Source organism: Homo sapiens, chromosome 6 (assembly GCF_000001405.40).
Source record: "Homo sapiens chromosome 6, GRCh38.p14 Primary Assembly".
In the NCBI taxonomy this organism is placed as follows: Eukaryota; Metazoa; Chordata; class Mammalia; order Primates; family Hominidae; genus Homo; species Homo sapiens.
The window spans coordinates 30,855,108-30,874,369 of record NC_000006.12 but is presented as its reverse complement, the minus strand read 5'-3'; the positions used below and the strand labels follow the sequence as shown (position 1 = coordinate 30,874,369).

Genomic DNA, 19,262 nt, shown 5'->3' with positions numbered 1-19,262 from the left:
GGAATTACAGGCGTGCACCACCAGGCCTGGCTAATTTTTGTATTTTTTTTTAGTAGAGACAAGGTTTCACCATGTTGGCCAGGCTGGTCTCGAACTCCTGGCCTCAAGTGATTTGCCTACCTCGGCCTCCCAAAGTGCTGGGATTACAGACGTGAGCCAGGGCACCCAGCCCCCCTTTTTAGACCATATAGGGTAACTTGCTGACATTGCCATGGCATTTGTAAACTGTCATGGCGCTGGTGGGAGTGTAGCAGTGAGGATGACCAGAGGTCACTCTCATCGCCATTTTGGTTTTGGTGGGTTTTGGCTGGCTCCTTTATTGAAAACTGCTTTATCAGCAATGTCTTTATGACCTATATTTTGTGCTGGCCTGCTGTCTCATCCTGTGACTTAGAATACCTTAACCATGTGGGAATGCAGCCCAGTAGGTTTCAGCCTTATTTTACCCAGCTCTTATTTAAGATGGGATTGCTGTGGTTCACACGCCTCTGACAATCCTAGCATTTTGGGAGGCCCAGGTAGGCAAATCACTTGAGGCCAGGAGTTTGAGAACAGCCTGAGCAACATGGTGAAGCCCCGTCTCTGCAAAAAAATACGAAAATTAGCCAGGTGTAGTGGTGCACATCTGTGATCGCAGCTACTCAGGCATCTGAGGTGAGAGGATCATTTGAGCCTGAGAGATGGAGGTTGCAGTGAGCCATACCACTGTACTCCAGGCTGGACCACAGAGTGAGACTGTGTCTCAAAAATGAGTAAATAAATACAGAAATAAATAAATAAGAAAAGGAAAGGTAAGTAGTTAAATGTCCATTAATAGGTATGAATAGCCACAAAAATTACTGTTTTATTTTAGGTTTCTCCAAAAGCACATCCTGGGACAAGTACTTGGATATAAGTAGTTTATTTAGGAGGGGCACTGAGTGAAGGGCTGGGAAGAGTGAGACAGGGAAGGGAGAAGAGCCAATAAAGCGTGTGTTAATGAGCAGATTACTTACTGTTGGGAGAAGTGGAACTTAAAACTGTTGGGACTGTAAGTGTCCAATGGGTTCTTCTTGCCTGCTGCCCAGATAGAGCCAATTTATAAAGGCAGGGGAATTGCAGTAGAGAAAGAGTTTTTCACATGTAGAGCTGGCGAAGGAGAAGACTGGAGTCTTATTATGCTCAAATCAGCCTCTTAGAAAAAATTCTGAGACTAGGGTTTTCCAAGGATAGTTTGGGGGAAGAAGGGGAGTAGCTAGGCAATGGGTGCTTGCTGCTGATTGGTTGCAATCATAGGGGTGTGGGAAATGGTCCTCATACATGCTGAGTCACTTCTGGGTGGGGCCACAGGAGCAGTTGGAGGATCCAGTTGGAGCCATAAGTCGTCAGACATAGAAAAAAATCTGAAAAGATATCTCAAAAGCCCAGACATTTATTCACACTAACGGTGAAAAGCATACCCCACAGTGTCAGTGGAGGTAACATGGGGTCCTGGATTTCCTCTTCACCCTCAGTGGTAGTGAGGTGTTCCTCTCACTCCTTCTGAGTAGAGGAAGCCAAGAGGAAAGCTGGAACTTGTACCATCATCCAGTGGTGATAAAGCCTCTGTCCCTCCACCTTACCCCCAGGTTATCAGTGGCAACCACATGGCTAGTGGTACCCCTCCCGCTCCTAGCCAGAATGATATCAGCAGAGGCCTAGAGAGTAGCCCAAAAACTCATCTGCACCCAGCAGGACTGAGGTTTCCTACCCCCACCAATGGAAGCCAAGTGAGGAACCTAAGCCTTCACCTCTCACTCAGCAGGAACCAGACAACACCCCCTAACACACACACACACACACACACACACACACACACACACACCCTTCTGTTAGTGTGGTATCAAGGAGGCTTGATAAAATAGAAGATTTAAATAGGATCCAGAGGCTGGGTGCAATGGCTCACACCTGTAGTCCCAACACTCTAGGAGGCCAAGTTGGGTGGATCACTTGGGCTCAAGAGTTTGAGAACAGCCTGGACAACATGGTAAAACCCTGTCTCTACAAAAAATACAAAAATTAACCAGGTGTGGTGGCACATGCCTGTAGTCCCAGCCACTTGGGGGGCTGAGGCGGAAGGATCACCTGAGCTAGGAGGCAGAGATTTCAGTGAGCCAAGATTGCACTACTACACTCCTCCAGACTGGGTGACAGAGTGATACCTTGTCTCAAAATAAATTAATAAATAGGATCCAGAGTCTCATAACATAATATCCAAATGTCCAGGATGCAATTGAAAATCACTTGCCATACCAAGAACCAGGAAAATCTCAACCAGAATAAGAAAAGACAACAGATGTCAATATCACGATAACACAGATGTTGCAATTATCTGACAAGGAAGCAGCCGTCATAAAAAATGTTTCAACAAGTCATTGTAAATATGATTGAAACAAATAAAAAAGGGAGAAGTCTCAGAAAAGAAATAGAAGATATAAAGAAGAATCAAATGGAAATTTTAGAACTGAAAAATGCCATAATAAAAATTTAAAATTCACCGAATGGGCACAACAGCAGAATGGAGAGGACAGAGAAAAGACTCAGTAAACTTGAAGATAGAACAACAGAATTCATCCAATCTGAACAACAGGGAGAAAATAGATAGGAAAAAAATGAACGTAACCTCAGACCACAATGAACATAACTATGTGACTGTAACAAAAGATCTAGCATTCATGTTATTGGGGTCCCAGAAGGAGAGGAGAAACAGGATGGAGCTGAAAAAGAATTGAAAGGAATAATGGCTAAAAATTTTCCTAAATTTAGGGGGAAAAAACATAACAGATTCAAGATGCTAAGCAAATCCCAAACAGAATAAACCCAAAGAAATCCATGCAGAGGCACATCATAATTAAACTTCTGGAAACTAAAAAATCTTGAAACCAATCAGAAATGACACAGTATTTGTAGAGGAAAAACAATCCAAATGACAGAAGATTGCTTTTCAGAAACCATGAAAACCAAAAGGAAATGACATTTTTTTCAAGTGCCAAAGGAAAATAACTGTCAGCCCAGTATCCTGTAGCCATCAAAAATACCCTTCATGAATGAAGGGGAAATCAAGACATTCTTAGGAGAAGGAAAATGAAAAGAATTTGTCATCAGCAGACCTACCCTAAAAGAATGGCTAAAAGAAATTCTTTCTTTCTTTCTTTCTTTCTTTCTTTCTCTTTCTTTCTTTCTTTTCTGTATGTGTGTGTGTGTGTGCATGTGTGCGTGTAGAAGCAGGATCTCACCATGCTGCCCAGGCTACTCTCAAACTCCTGGCCTCAGGTGATCTTCCTGTCTCAGCCTCCCAAAGTGCTGGGACTGCAGGTGTAAGCCACCACACCTAGCCTAAAAGGAACTCTTGAGACAAACAGGAGAGGATAAAGAAGAAATCTTGGAGCATCAGGAAGAAAGAAAGAACAATAGAAAATGCAAAAATATGGGAAGATTACATTATTTCACTCCTTGGCATCAGGTTTGGCTATGTGACCTTCTGTGGCCAATCAAATGTGAGCAGAAGCAACATATATCACTTCCAGGAAATAGCTTCAAAGGCCAGTGTGTGGTTCTCCATGACTCTTTCTCCTCTCATGACACCTGTCACTGCTCCAGCTCTGCCATCTGGGTCCTGGTGTGAGATGACATGGACAGGGCCATAGCCAACCTGCAATGAATACATATAGCATGAGCAAAAATAAATCTTGGATGTTGTAAACATCTTAAGATTTTTGGCCAGGCATGGTGGCTGAAGCCTGTAATCCCAGTACTCTGGAAGTCTGAGGCAGGTAGATCACTTGAGGTCAGGGGTTCAAGACTAGCCTGGCCAATATAGTGAAAACCCATCTCTACTAAAAATACAAAAATTAGCTGGGGGTGGTGGCAGGTGCCTGTGATCCCAGCTACTCAGGAGGCTGAGGCAGGAGAGTTGCTTGAACCCAGGAGGCAGAAGTTGCAGTGAGCCAAGATCATGCCACTGCACTCCAGTCTGAGAGACAGAGTGAGACTCTGTCTCAAAAAAAAAAGTAAAGATTTTTTTAACCATGGCAAAACTTGACTTTTTTTTTTTTTTTTTTTTGTGACAGAGTCTCGCTCTGTTGCCAGGCTGGAGTGCAGTGGCATGATCTCGGCTCACTGCAACCTCCGCCTCCCAGGTTCAAGCAATTCTCCTGCCTCAGCCTGCTAAGTAGCTGAGATTACAGGCACGTGCCACCACATCCAGCTAATTTTTTGTATTTTTAGTAGAGACAGGGTTTCATCGTGTTAGCCAGGATGGTCTCGATCTCCTGACCTCGTGATCTGCCTGCCTCAGCCTCCCAAAGCGCTGTGATTACAGGCGTGAGCCACCACGCCTGGCTGACCTTTCTTGATTGATATATAATCACAGTGATACATCTGTATAGTTCTTTTGTGTTGCCAAAACCTCACATTATTTACTTTGACCTTCATAAAACCCCATGAAGTATGAAGACAAATTATAGAGGGAGCCAGCCCCCAATATTTCAATGTAGGTTCTTTTCTATTTTCCCTTAGTGTCGGCTGGTCTGAGAAATAAAGAGAAACAGTACAAAGAGAGAAATTTTACAACTGGGCCTCCAGCGGTGACATCACATACTGGTAGGACCGTGATGACAACCCCGAGCTGCAAAACCAGCAGGTTTTTATTAGGGATTTTAAAAGGGGAGGGGATGTACGAACAGGGAGTAAGCCACAAGGATCACATGCTTCGAAGGGCAATAAAGATCACAAAGCGAAGGCAAAATTAGAATTACTGATGAGGGTCTATGTCCCGCTGTGCACGTATTGTTTTGATAAACATCTTAACAGGAAACAGGGTTCGAGACCAAAGAACCGGTCTGACTAGAATTTACCAGGCTGGAATTTCCCAATCCTAGTAAGCCTGAGGGTACTGCAGGAGACCAGGGCATATTTCAGTCCTTATCTCAACCACATAAGACAGACACTCCCAGAGCAGCCATCTACAGACCTCCCCCGAGGAATGCATTCCTTCCCCAGGGTTATTCCTTCCTGGGAAAAGAATTCAGCGATATTTCTCCTCGCACATCTGTTTATAGGCTTTCTGCAAGAAGAAAAATATGGCTCTATTCTGCCCAACCCTGCAAGCAGTCAGACTTTATGGTTATCTTTTCTTGTTACCTGAAAATTGCTGTTACTTTGTTCTTTTTCAGAGTGCACTGATTTCATATTGTTCAAACCCACATGTTTTACAATCAGATTTCATATTGTTCAAACACACATGTTCTACAACCAATTTGTACAATAGTGGTCCTGAGGTGACGTACATTCTCAGTTTATGAAGATAATAGGATTAAGAGATTAAAGACAGGCATAAGAAATTATAAGAGTATTAGGGAAGTGATAAATATCCATGAAATCTTCACAATTTATGTTCAGAGATTGCAGTAAAGACAGGTGTAAGAAATTATAAAAGTATTAATTTGGGGAACTGCTAAATGTCCATGAAATCTTCACAATTTATGTTCTTCTGCCTTGGCTCCAGCTGGTCCCTCCATTCAGGGTCCCTGACTTCCCACAACAAATTAATGATATTTTTGTGTCAAAGACTAGCTGAACCCTATGTTGTTCCCGGTTACCAACTGACATAAATAAGTATGTTTGTAATGAGCCTTAAGAATGGTTCTATGGAGTTGCCCATGTAAGAAGCAGCCGGATGGCAAATTAGTTATTGTAATTTGAAGTGCTCACAGTTATAACTTCCTATATAAGGTTCCTACTTGCAATTTCTGTTTGTTTTCTATATTCACAATATCTTAAAAGGCATAGACTATCTTTCCAAGCCTCACATTATACATCACTTTAATTTGCTCTGGTGTAAAACTGCTAATTTCTTTGAGGTGATACCACAGAACCACTAAATTAGATACGCTGTATGCCACATAGCATATATTTTAAGTCATTTTTTAATTAAAAAAAAACAAACCTTAAAATTTGGTGAAAATCCATTGTGTTTGTTATCTATTGCTGCATAATAAATTGCCCCAAAAGTAAGTAGCTTCAAACAATAAGAAACATTTATTTTCTATCTCTCTTAAACACATACACACACACATACATACACACACAAACACAGTATTAATTTGTTATTGTTGAAGTTTTAAAAAGTGATTTGTATGTCAAAAACAAACCCCAACCTTCTCTCCTTGCCACCCAAACCAAAGAAGGCCAGCTCCATAACATAAAAGTGCGAGGTGAAGCAGCAAGTGATGATGAAGAAGCTGCATCAAGTTATCCAGAAGATCTAGCCAAGATAATTGGTGAAGGTGACTACACTAAACAACAGATTTTCCATGTAGATAAAATAGCTTTATATTGGAAGAAGAGGCCATCTAGGACATTCATAGCTACAGAGGAAAAGTCAATGCCTGCCTGGCTTCAAAGCTTCAAAGGACAGTCTGACTCTCTTGTTAGAGGCTAATATAGCTGATGGCTTTAAGTTGAAGCTAATCCTCATTTACCACTCTGAAAACCCTCTGGCTCTTAAGAATTATGCTAAATCTACTCTGCCTGTGTTTTATAAATGGAACAACAAAGCTTGGATGACAGCATATCTGTTTACAGCATGGTTTGTTGAATATTTTAAGCCCACTGTTGAGAGACCTACTGCTCAGGAAAAAAAAGATTTCTTTCAAAATATTACTGCTCATTGACAATGTAGTTGGCCACCCAAGAGCTCTGATGCAGAGATACAAGGAGATAAATGTTGTTTTCATGCTTGGTAACACAGTGTCCATTCTGCAGCCTATGGATCAAGGAGTGATTTCAACTTTCAAGTCTTATTATTTAAGAATAAATTTTGTAAGGTTATAGCTGCAATGGATAGTGATTTTTCTGACATATCTGGGCAAAATACATTGAAAATCTTTTGGAAAGCATTCATCATTCTAGATGCCATTAAGAACACTTGTGAGCTGAGCACGGTAGCTCACACCTGTAATCCCAGCACTTTGGGAGGCCGATGTGGGTGGATCACCTGAGGTTAGGAGTTCCAGACCAGCCTGGCCAACATGGTGAAACCCCATCTCTACTAAAAATATAAAATTAGCCAGGCATGGTGACACACTCCTATAATCCTAGCACTTTGGGAGGCCGAGGCAGGTGGATCACCTGAGGTCAGGAGTTTGAAACCAGCCTGGCCAACATGGTGAAACCCCATTTCTACTAAAAATACAAAAATTAGCTAGGCCTGGTGGCAGAGGCCTGTAATCCCAGCTACTTGGGAGGCTGAGGCAGGAGAATTGCTTGAATCTGGGAGGCAGAGGTTGCAGTGAGCTGATATCGCACCACTGCACTCCAGCCTGGGCAACAAGAGTAAGACTCTGTCTCAAAAAAAAAAAAAAAAAAAAAAAAAAGAGAGAGAGAGAAAGAAAAAAAAAGAACACTTGTGATTCACGGGAGGAGGTCAAAATATCAACATTTACAAAAGTTTGGAAGAAGTTTGGTGCAAACCTTCATGAATGACTTTTGAGGGGTTCCTGACTTCGGTAACTGCAGATGTGGTAGAAAAAGCCAGAGAACTAGAAGTGGAGCCTGAAGATGTGACTGAATTGCTGCAATCTCATGATAAAATTTGAATAGATGAGGAAGTGCTTCTTGTGGATGAGCAAAGAAAGTGGTTTCTTGAGACGGAATCTACTCCTGTTGAAGATGCTATGAACATTGTTGAAATGACAACAAAGGACTTAGAATATTACATAAACTTAGTTAATAAAGAAGCAGCAGGGTCTGAGAGAATTGACTCCAATTTCAAAAGAAGTTTTACTGTGGGTAACATGTATCAAACAGCATCACATGCTACAGAGAAATCTCTCACAAAAGGAAGAGTGAATCGATGTGGCAAACTTCGTTGTTGTCTTAATTTAAGAAATTGCCATAGCCACTTAAGCTTCAGCAGCCCCCACTCTGATCAGACAGCAACACACCTTCCACCCACAAAAGGATTATAACTCTCCGAAGGCTCAGATAATCATTATCATTTTTTAGCAATAAAGTATTTTAAAATTAAGGTATGTACTTCTTTAAGACATAATGCTATTGCACACGTAATAGACCATAATATAGTGTAAGCATAACTTTTATGTGCACTAGGAAAACAAAAACTTAGTGACTTACTTTACCGAGATATTCCCTTTATTGTGATGAACTGGAACTGGGCCCGCAATATCTCCAAGGTATGCCTATATCTGAGAAAGCAGCACTGAAATGGCAAATAAATAATATTCATGAAAGCTTTGCCAGTAAGGAAGTAGAGGGTGGCTGTTTTGTGGAAACTAAAAGCGTGTCCTGCAAAAACCTTTCGTGAAATCAGACAGGCTTTCTTTCTTTTTTATTTTTTTTTCCAAGACAGGGTATCACTCTGACACTAAGGCTGGAGTACAGTGATGTGATCTCAGCTCACTGCAGCCTCAACCTCCTGGGCTCAAGTGATCCCCTCACCTCAGCCTCCTCAGTAGCTGGGACTATAGGCATGTACCCCAATGCCTGGCTAATTTTTTTTTTTTTTAAACAGTGGTCTCTCTTTGTTGCCCTGGCTGGTCTTGAACTCCTAGGCGCAAACTGAATAGGCCTCCCAAAGTGCTGTGATTACAGGTGTGAGCCACTGAACCCAGCCAGACAGGCTTTCTTCAGCAAGTTGTCTGCCATGCAAAGAGATTTGGGTCATAAGATTCAGTAGTCTCTGGGAAGCCTTTAAAAAAGAAGTTGAACCTGGCCATGATCAGATTGGCATAGTATTATAAAGGATGATATGAAGGGTGATACAGTTTGAATCCGTGTCCCTGCCCAAATCTTATATTGAAATGTAATCCCCAATGTTGGAGGTGGGTTCTTGTGGGAGGTGATTGGATCGTGGGGGCAGATTTCTCATAAATGGTCTAGTACCATCCCCTTTAGCACTGTACTCACCATAGTGAGTGAGTTCCTGTGATATATGGTCATTTAAAAAGGTGTAGCACCTTTACCATCACTCTCTCTCACTCCTGCTCCCGCCATGTGAGATCCCTGCTCCCCCTTCACCTTCCACCGTGATTGAAAGCTTCCTGGGGCCTCCCCAGAAAGAGATGCTGCTATGCTTCCTGTACAGCCTACAGAACCGTGAGCCAATTAAACCTCTTTTCTTACAAATTACCCAGTCTCAAGTATTTCTTTATAGCAGTGCAAGAATGGCCTAATACAAAGGGAAAGCAAGATTAGGGGAAGGGGTGCCAGTAACAAGGCTATGTATTATGTGCTTCTAATTCTAAATCATATACGTACTGGGAAACCAGAACTTGCAGGTGGATGGATCACCATCATACCTATTCCATCCCAGGAGCAGCAAAACTGTCCCCCTTAGAGATCTTCCACCGTGAACCTCAGAGCCATTCAGCTATGGGTAAAGCTAACCTAAGCACAAATAGCAGATTTTTAGCGCCTGACTGGGATCCAGAGCCACTTGGTCAGCGGGGAGGGTAAGGGATGGATATTGTGAAGGTTCAGAGGTCAGGGTGGGAGGGGGCTGGCAATGGGTTAATCAAAGGGGCTCTCACACAAATATCCTATTCAAGACACCAAAAGTGACAACCTGAGACTTCTATTAGCTTGATTTTGTTGATGAAACATTCACCTTGAGGGGAGGAGGGAGGTACCCAAGGGATATCTCATGCACCTCTCACCTAGACTCCAGGGAAACCAGAGGCAAGGACTTCATAATGATCTGCCCCACCTGAGGATGATGGTGATATGCTGACATCATCCTCTGTACTGCCCAAATCCTGCTGCACATCAAAAACACAATCTGCACCACCACACAACCACGTGATCATCAATTGAGACATGAAGTTCACATCTTGTCTCTGGACCTTGAGAGCTTGTTTGGAGATTCTAGCAGGGGAGCGCAGCTACTCGTATACCCTTAGCCGAAGACTGGTCCTCCTCTATTGGGGATGGTCCTCCTCTTCAACTGAGCACACAGCTTCAGGAGGGATGCACATGGAGTGGTGAGGGAAGAAGGGGACACCACCTAGCCAGCTAGATCAGCAGAATCAACAGTGGCAATCACTGGGGTGACAGATGTCATAGCCAGATCACCCTCACATCCAATGTCTCTGGAAAATAGCGTTCAACTTTCTCCACTTGAGAAGGCACCTGACTACTTGCCTGCTGCCCACACTAGGGGCCAGATATGGTACATTAGTCACCTTCTTAGAGGCATTCTCCAGGCTCAGCAGGAAGCCCCCCCTTGACTGGGGAGCTGGGAAAGGGCAGGGATGTACTTTTCTGCAGAGATCTATTTTCTCCACAATGGGATTTAAATCATTAAACTGACTTTATAACATCAGTTCTAGAGCATCCTACTTGCAAACGGAGTGAAATTATCCAAATTATAAAGGAATCTCTCACTTGATAAAAGAAACACATGGTCTCAGGTAGCGTTTTAATGTTTCATAGCATGTGTTTTCAGATCAATAGACACTTAGCAGAGGGAAGGTGTATTAGTCCTGTAACAGGGTGTATTAGCACTGCTATAAAGAACTACCTGAGACTGGGTAATTTATGAAGAAAGGAAGTTTAATTGGCTCACAGTTCCACAGGCTGTACAAGAATCATGCTTGGGGAGGCCTCAGGAAACTTACAATCTGGGCAGAAGGGCAAGGGGAAGCAAACACCTTCTTCACACGGTGGAGTGGGAGAGAGGGAAAGTGAAGGGGGAGGTACTACACACTTTGTTTTTTTGTTTTGTTTTGTTTGTTTGTTTGTTTTTTGAGTCAGAGTTTTGCTCTTGTTGCCCAGGCTGGAGTGCAATGGCGTGATCTCGGCTCACAGCAACCTCCATCTCTCAGGTTCAAGTGATTCTCCTGCCTCAGCCTCCCAAGTAGCTGGGATTATAGGCATGTGCCACCATGCCGGCTAAATTTGTATTTAGTAGAGACGGGGTTTCTCCATATTGGTCAGGCTGGTCTCGAACTCCCGACCTCAGGTGATCCGCCTACCTCAGCCTCCCAACATGCTGGGATTACAGGCGTGAGCCACCACGCCCGGCTCTACTACACACTTTCAAACAACCAGATCTCGTGGGAACTCACTCACTATCACGAGAACAGCAAGGGGGAAATCTGCCCCAATGATCCAATCACCTCCCACCAGGCCTCTCCTCCAACACTCCAACACTGGGAATTACAGTTCAACTTGAGATTTGGATGGAGCCCATATTGGAGGGATTGAAAGTTCCTATGTTCCAAGACACAGACCAACAAGAAAGCAAGCAAATTAAAAAGGAAGCCTGAAATTCTAGTAGTAAGATGAATTATTAGGCCGGGCGTGGTGGTTCACACCTGTAATCCCAGCACTTTGGGAGGCCAAGGCAGGTGGATCACGAGGCCAGTAGTTCCAGACCAGCCTGACCAACGTGGTGAAACCCTGTCTCTACTAAAAATGCAAAAATTAGCCAGGCATGGTGGTGCGCGCCTGTAATCCCAGCTACTCAGGAAGCTGAGGCAGGAGAATCGCTTGAACCTGGGAGGCAGAGGTTGCAGTAAGCTGAGCTCACACCACTGCACTCTAGCCTGGGTGACAGAGCAAGACTCCATTAAAAAAAAGAGAGAGAGAGAGAAGTGATTTATGTATTTGGTTTTTCCTGGACAGGAAGCTAAAATTCCAGGCTGGTGTTTAACCCCGGATGACTGTCAGGCGTAGCTGAAGACTCTGCTGGGTTTCTCTGGGCAATTGGCTTTTCACATTGGTCTGCGGGTTTGTCTGTAACTCCAGGCGATAGAGCTGGGAGTGTGCTGGGGGAGGACCAAGATTAGGATGAGACGCAGGTGAGGGCTCAGCCGTACTGTTTGTTCATGGGATGTTCCTCATGAGATCCTGTAGCCTCACATCGGCAAGAAAAGAACACATCTCCTTTATGTGCCAGCTGGGAGCTGAGGAGACTGGTCACACTCACAGAAAACCCAAGGAACGTTAGTAGTCATGGTTTTCAAGGCCAAAATCTAAACAGTGTTTGGGGAGGAGCTGGTCCCTCCCACCATGCACAGAGGTGTTTATGTGGTGTCCCTAGGCCAACGAAGAATGTCTCTCCAAGATCTCAGCTCCTCACCACACCTCCCCAACCCTCAACTTTCCCCTTCCCTCTCCATGAATCCACCTCCTTTTTACCTTCTCTCAAAGTTCCCTGCCTTCCCAAGTCCTTGCACTGAGCTGCGCCGACTCTCCGGCAAGATTAGCAAGTCCCTGGCCCCCTTTTATATTTTTGTGCTTGCAGCCTGTCAACTCTCAGGCAAACAGACCCTGACAGACTGCTTTACCAGGCAGAGTGCTACACCTCCTGGCTCCCCTGCTACCAGCTGCTAGGACCTAGTGCACGAGGTTATCACCACTTTGGCCAGCCTCCTCACCACCCTATTTTCTTTTCTTTTTTCTTCCTTGTTTAAAAAAAGAGAGAGAGAGAAAGAGGGCCTCGCTCTGTTGCCTAGGCTGGAGTACAGTGGCACAATCACGGTTCACTGCAGCCTTGAACTCCTGGGCTCAAGTGATCTTTCCAACTCAGCCTCTGGAACAGCTAGGACTACAGGAACATGCCACCATGCCTGGATAACTTGGTTTTTTGTTTGCTTTTAGAGAGGAAGTCTCCCTATGTTGCCCAAGTAAGTCTCCAACTTCTGGCCTCAAGTGATAATCCTGTCTTGGCCTCCCAAAGTGCTGGGATTATAAACTGATATGGTTTGGCTGTGTCCCCAGCCAAATCTCATCTTGAATTGTAGCTCCTATAATTCCCATGTGTTGCAGGAGGGACCTGGTGGGAGATAACTGAATCACAGGGGTGGTTTCCCCTATACTGTTTTCATGGTAGTGAATAAGTCTCATGAGATCTGATGGTTTTATAAGGGGAAACCCCTTTCACTTAGTCTCTCATTCTGTTCTTGTCTGCCACCATGTAAGACATGGCTTTTGCCTTCAATTGTGATTGTGAGGCCTCCCCAGCCATGTGGAACTGTGAGTCCATTAAATCTCTTCTTTTTCTTTATAAATTACCCAGTCTTGGGTATGTTTTTATCAGTAGCATGAAAAGGGACTAATACAGTACATTGGTAATGGGAGTGAGATGCTGCTGTAAAGTAACCCAAAAATGTGGAAGCAACTTTGGAACTGGGTAACAGGTAGCGACTGGAACAGTTTGGAGGGCTCAGAAGACAGGAAAGTGTGGGAAAGTATGGAACTTCCTAGAGACTTGTTGAATGGCTTTGACCAAAATCCTGATAATGATATGGACAATGAAATACAGGCTGAGGTGGTCTCAAATGGAGATGAGGAACTTGTTGGGAACTGGAGTAAAGGTGACTCTTGCTATGTTTTACCACAAAGACTGGTGGCATTTTGCCCCTGACCTAGAGATTTGTGGAACATTGAACTTGAGGGAGATGATTTAGGGTATCTGGCAGAAGAAATTTCTAAGCAGCAAAGCATTCAAGAGGTGATGTAGGTGCTGTTAAAAGCATTCAGTTTTAAAACTGAAACACAGCATAAAAGTTCAGAAAACTTGCAGCCTGACGATGTGATAGAAAATAAAAACCCATTTCTTTTTTGTTTGTTTGTTTTTGAGATGGAGTCTAGCTCTGTCACCCAGGCTGTAGTGCAGTGGCATGATCTTGGCTCACTGCAACCTCTGCCTCCCAGGTTCAAGCAATTCTTTTGCCTCAGCCTCCCAAGTAACTGGAATTACAGGCACATGCCACCACGTCCAGCTAATTTTGTATTTTTAGTAGAGACAGGGTTTCATCATGTTGGCTGACCAGGCTGGTCTTGAACTACTGACCTCAAGTGATCTGCCTGCCGTGGCCTCCCAAAGTGTTGGGATTACAGGCGTGAGCCACCGTGCCCAGCTAATTTTTGTATTTTTTGTAGAGATGGGGTTTTGCCCAGGCTCGTCTCGAACTCCTGAACTCAAGTGATCCACCTGCCTCAGCCTCCCAAAGTGCTGGGATTACAGGCCTGAGCCGCCACGCCCAGCCAAAAAAATCATTTTCTGAGGAGAAATTCGAGCCAGCTGAAGAAGTTTGCATAAGTAATGAAGAGTCAAATGTTAATCACCAAGACAATGGGGTAAATGTCTCCAGGGCGTGTCAGAGACCTTTGCAGCAGCCCCTCCCATCACAGACCTGGAGACTAGGGAGAAAAAATGGTTTTGTGGGCCAGGCCTAGGGCCCCCCTGCTGTGTGCAGCCTGGAGACTTGGTGCCTGCATCCCAGCCATGGCTAAAAGGGGCCAAGGTACAGCTTGGGTCATGGCTTCAGAGGGTGCAAGCCCCAAGCCTTGGCAGCTTCCACATGGTGTTGAGCCTGTGGGTGCACTGAAGTCAAGAATTGAGGTTTGGGAACCTCCAACTAGATTTCACCTGGATGTCCAGGCAGAAGTTTGCTGCAGCGGTGGAGCTCTCACGGAGGACCTCTGCTAGGGCACTGCGGGAGGAAAATGGGAGGTTGAAGCCCCCATGCAGGGTCTCCACTGGGGCACTGCCTAGTGGAGCTGTGAGAAGAGGGCCACCATCCTCCAGACCCCAGAATGGTAGATCCGCCCACAGCTTGCACTGTGTGCCTGGAAAAACAACAGACACTCAACACCAGCCCATGAAAGCAGCCAGAAGAGGGGCTGTACCATGTAAAGCCACAGGGGCAGAGCTGCCCAAGGCCATGGGAACCCATCTCTTGTATCAGTGTTACCTGGATGTGAGACATGGAGTCAATGGAGATAATTTTGGAGCTTTAAGATTTGACTGCCCCACTGGATTTTGGACTTGCATGGGGACTGTAGCCCCTTTGTTTTGGCCAATTTCTCCCATTTGGAATAGCTGTATTTACCCAATGCCTATACCCCCACTATATCTAGGAAGTAACTAACTTGCTTTTGATTTTGCAGCCTCATAGTTGGAAGGGACTTGCCTTGTCTCAGATGAGACTTTGGACTGTGGACTTTTAAGTTTATGCTGAAATGAGTTAAGACTGTTGGGAAGGCATGATTGGTTTTGAAATGTGAGGACATGAGATTTGGGAGGGGCTGGGGCAGAATGATATGGTTGGGCTGTGTCCCCACCCAAATCTCATCTTGAGTTGTAGTTCCCATAATTCCCATGTGTTGTGGGAGGGACCTGATGGGAGATAATTGAATCACAGGGAGTGGTTTCCCCCATACTGTTTTTGTGGTAGTAAGTCCCACAAGATCGGATAGTTTTATAAGGGGAAATCCCTTTCACTTGGTCTCTCATTCTCTTCTTGTCTGCCACCATGTAAGATGTGCCTTTTGCCTTCTGCCATGCTTGTGAGGCCTCCCCTGCCACATGGAACTGTGAGTCCATTAAACCCCTTTTTCTTTATAAATGACCCAGTCTCAGGCATGTCTTTATCAGCAGCATGAAAACAGACTAATATATAGGCCTTCACCATCGTTTTTTTTTTTTTTTTTCGAGACAGAGTCTCGCTTTGTTGCCCAGGCTAGAGTGCAGTGGCATAATCTCTTCTCACTGCCACCTCCGCCTCCTGAGTTCAAGTGATTCTCTTGCCTCAGCCTCCTGAGTAGCTGGTACTACAGGTGGGTGCCACCACATCTGGCTCATTTTTGTATTTTTAGTAGATATGGGGTTTCACCATGTTGGCCAGGGTGGTCTCAAACTCCTGACCTCAGATGATCCACCCATCTCAGCCTCCCAAAGTGCTGGGATTATAGGTGTGAGCCAGCATGCCTGGCCACATCATCCATTTTTGCTGCCAGAATTTTTGCCATCACCCCTGCCATTTGAGGGCAGAACAAAAGGTTGCTCACATCATTTGATTCAGATCATGTTGGCCAAAAGCTAGTCCCACAGCATGTGATACTGGGAAATGTAGTCTTGATTCAGGATGGCCACAAGTCCAGCAAAAATTTGGGAGTCTCATTAGTAAGGAAGAAGAGGAGAATGGATACTTGGGGACAACAGCAGTTTCTGCCACAAAGCACACAGTGGGAAGTGAGAGATCACTACACACCTCCATTCTCACCAGGAGCAGCTGGCCTGTAAATGGCACAAAGTAAGTGAAGAAGCCTCAAATGTTATTTATTTTATTTTTATTTTATTTTTTTGAGACAGGGTCTTGCTGCGTCTCCAAGGCTGGAGTGCAGTGGTATGATCATGGCTCACTGCAGCCTTGACTTCTTGGGCTCCAGTGATCCTCCTTCCTCAGCCTCCCAGTAGCTACGATTACAGGCGTGTGCCACTATGCCTGGCTAATTTTTGTATTTTTGGTAGAGACGGGGTTTTACCACATTGTCCAAGCTGGTCTCGAACTCCTGAGCTCAAGCAATCATCCGCTTTGGCTTCCCACAGTGCTAGGATTACAGGTATGAGCCACCACGCTTGGCCAGAAGCTTCAAATTTACATAAAGTGTGAAGTTTGGAATTCATAAATTCATAGTGTGGAATGGGGAAGGAAGAAAAGCTCTTTAAGAGATACAATCAGTGTTTTCTTTGGTTGTTAGAGTGTTGAAACAAATCAGACACTTTAGCACAGTAAGAGTTAACCTCCCTCACTGGGCCCCAGCAGGCAGCCCGGGAGCAGTGAGGTCGCAGTGGGTTGACAGGGTCTGTTTGTTTGCCTGAGAGTTGACAAGCTGCACGCACAAAACTCATCCAAGCAGAAGAAGCATCCATGCATGATAAACTTGAACCAATAACAAAGTCTTGGACATTAAATCATAACTGCTTTTTTGTTCGTGTTTGTGTATGTGTATACCGCTTTTTGATCTTGTACCAAACCATAAACTCCATGGGCACAGAGACCACGTTTATCTTGTTTATCATGTTCATCATGTGGCTAGCATGGATAAGGAATTTAGGAAATATGTGTTGAATAAAAGAGTAAATGAATGTTGTTTGTCACCACATTTAGTCCAGTCCTGCCTCCATCCGAAGCAAAAAGAAAGCTGAAGGTCAACATAGAAGCTGTGGTTCTACAAGCTCTGCACAATGCTGGAGCCCACCAGCATTGCTTGGGTGGCCCCTTCGTGAACAGGAACACAAAAGAGGGGAAAGGCATTTCCCCACTGGACATAGACACTGCTCTGCCCAATGCAGAATTGATGCCTGAAGGGCTCCGGTTCCCTGGGGGAATGCTCAGCAGGCGATGGAGAGTTGCTGTTGGCCTGGGTGCCTGGATTTAGGAGCACGAGTGAGATTTCCCTCAGACCCCCAGAAATACTTGGGCAGAGAAGGAGACACTGAAATGTTGTTACTATCTTAAGGTGGCCCCATTTGCACATTCCCATAGGTTAGCAAGACCCAGGGATGCTCAGGTTACTTATTTGGAACCTAATGTTGAAATACTATGAATTGTGCATGACAGATTAATTACTACTACTGGGATGAGAGCCCCTGGCCTTTTGGGATGGTGGCAGTGGCACTGGTGGAGCCCAGCTGCCTGTGGCCTCAGGTTGAGGTGGGCTGAAAGAGAAATGTGAAGGCAGAAAGAGAAAGTGAAGGCAGCTTCACTAGATCTTCCGAGGATGTTAATTCCTCTGCAGCTATAGAAGAGATGAGGCAGATGGTAGAGGCAGAGGGGGCTGGGATCTGGCAAACAGTGGCTCTTACTCAAAACAGTGAGCTTCTAAAAAGGTTGAATCTCCTCTTAAATGGAAGAGAGGGGGGAAAAAATGAGATGGACCAGAGTCCAAAAGTAGCAGAGCAACTCTGCAGTCCCCGGCCTGGGAGTGTCCCCATAAAGTGGGGGCCATCGAGTGGAACAGGAAAGGGGAAAGGGGAAGATCTTCAATTACTTGAGGAAATTGAATTCAGTGAGGGTATTTCTTCGAGCCCCAGGAAAGGGCCTTTGGTGGTACCCGTCAGGGAGCTGAATATATGTTCCTGCAATTTGGAGGACAGGGTGAGCAGCTAGCTGGTTCATTTCTGGAAATGGAAAAACACATATACACACAAAGACACACACACAACAAAAAAGAACACCAGGAGTCTGGCTACCTGCCCTGATGGTGGAACAAGGGAGGTAGCTGGGTTTCAGGGCTGCCAGCCTTCCGCAATTGCCGGGGGCACTGGATTCATGTTTCCTGTGGACCACAGGTGGGGCCACCATAAGAGAGAGATGGCAGGGGATGGCATTAGACTCTGTCTAAAAGGGTCATCTGAAGGGGTTTGGTGATCCTAATAGAGGGATGAATCGTCAGACTCTTAGAAGCTGCAGAAAGAAATATAGTTGACCAGCCTAAGGAAGGGCATTTGTCCACCTCAGGGAATTAGGTGATGAGAAATCGTAGCAAAGGGAAGGTGTTAGCTCAGAAAAATCAACGGAAGTGCCTGATGAAAGGAAGAATCAGCTATGCCTAATGACCCAGGCAGTGCTTCTGCCATCTCACAGTAATTCTAGTGCAATGAAACCTCCTGGCCCCTCCCTCTCACCACTGGAACCCTGGAGAGGTCCAGGGTCCAAGTTAGCAAGATGAGGGAGGAGGGATAGAAGCATGCATACACAATGAACCTGTGTAGGTAGAATCCAGGTTCAGCAGCTGAGAGAAAAACTGTATGTCAAAAGACAAAGTGTGTTTCTCATTAACAGTTCCAACATCAGGAGTCTTAGGCTGGATAGAGTGACTCCGCGGTGTTGGAGACCCCAGCTCCTTCTGTCTTGCTGCTCTGCCATTGCATCGAGGGCTGCTCTCTCTTGAAAGGTTGAAATGGCTCCCCACATCTGCTGGGTCAGCATTCCAGCCAGGGAAAGAAGGAAAGGGGAAACTAATGCCACCCATGCTGTTTGAGGGCAGAACAAAAGGTTGCTTATGTTGTTCTGATTCAGATCCGTTGGCCAAAAGTTAGTCTCACAGCCACACCTGGCTGCAAGGGATACTGGAAAATGTAGTCTTGTTTCAGGCTGGCCATAAGTCCAGCAAAAATTTGGGAGTCTTACTAATCAGGAAGAAGAGGAGAATGAATATTTGGTGATAACTGCAATTTCTGCCACAAAGCGCAAAGTGGGAAATCAGAGGTCACCACACACCTCAATTCCCATTGAGCGTGGCTGGTCTGTAAATAGCATAAAGTACGGGAAGAAATCTCAAATTTAAATAAAGTTTAAAGTTTCTACTATTACATGAGATTGGACCATTTAATTACTTATTAAACTCCTTGGGGAATTGGAGTAACCCAATGACCTTAGATTACCTACAAATGACTAGAAAGTTCATGGGGCTTGCTCCAAATTTCA

At 44.9% G+C, this 19,262-nt stretch overlaps 1 pseudogene, besides 1 other annotated feature; it reads right to left on the bottom strand.

Annotated features, from left to right (window-relative positions):
- On the bottom strand, positions 9,877 to 10,120 carry RN7SKP186 (RN7SK pseudogene 186; annotated as a pseudogene).
- Positions 16,524 to 16,818: a silencer, noted in NCBI's record as "tiled region #13207; HepG2 Repressive non-DNase unmatched - State 4:PromP, and K562 Repressive DNase matched - State 9:DNaseU". NCBI's record gives its function as "represses a minimal TATA promoter and a strong SV40 promoter by Sharpr-MPRA in HepG2 and K562 cells {active_cell/tissue: HepG2 | K562}" and the evidence as "EXISTENCE:reporter gene assay evidence [ECO:0000049][PMID:27701403]".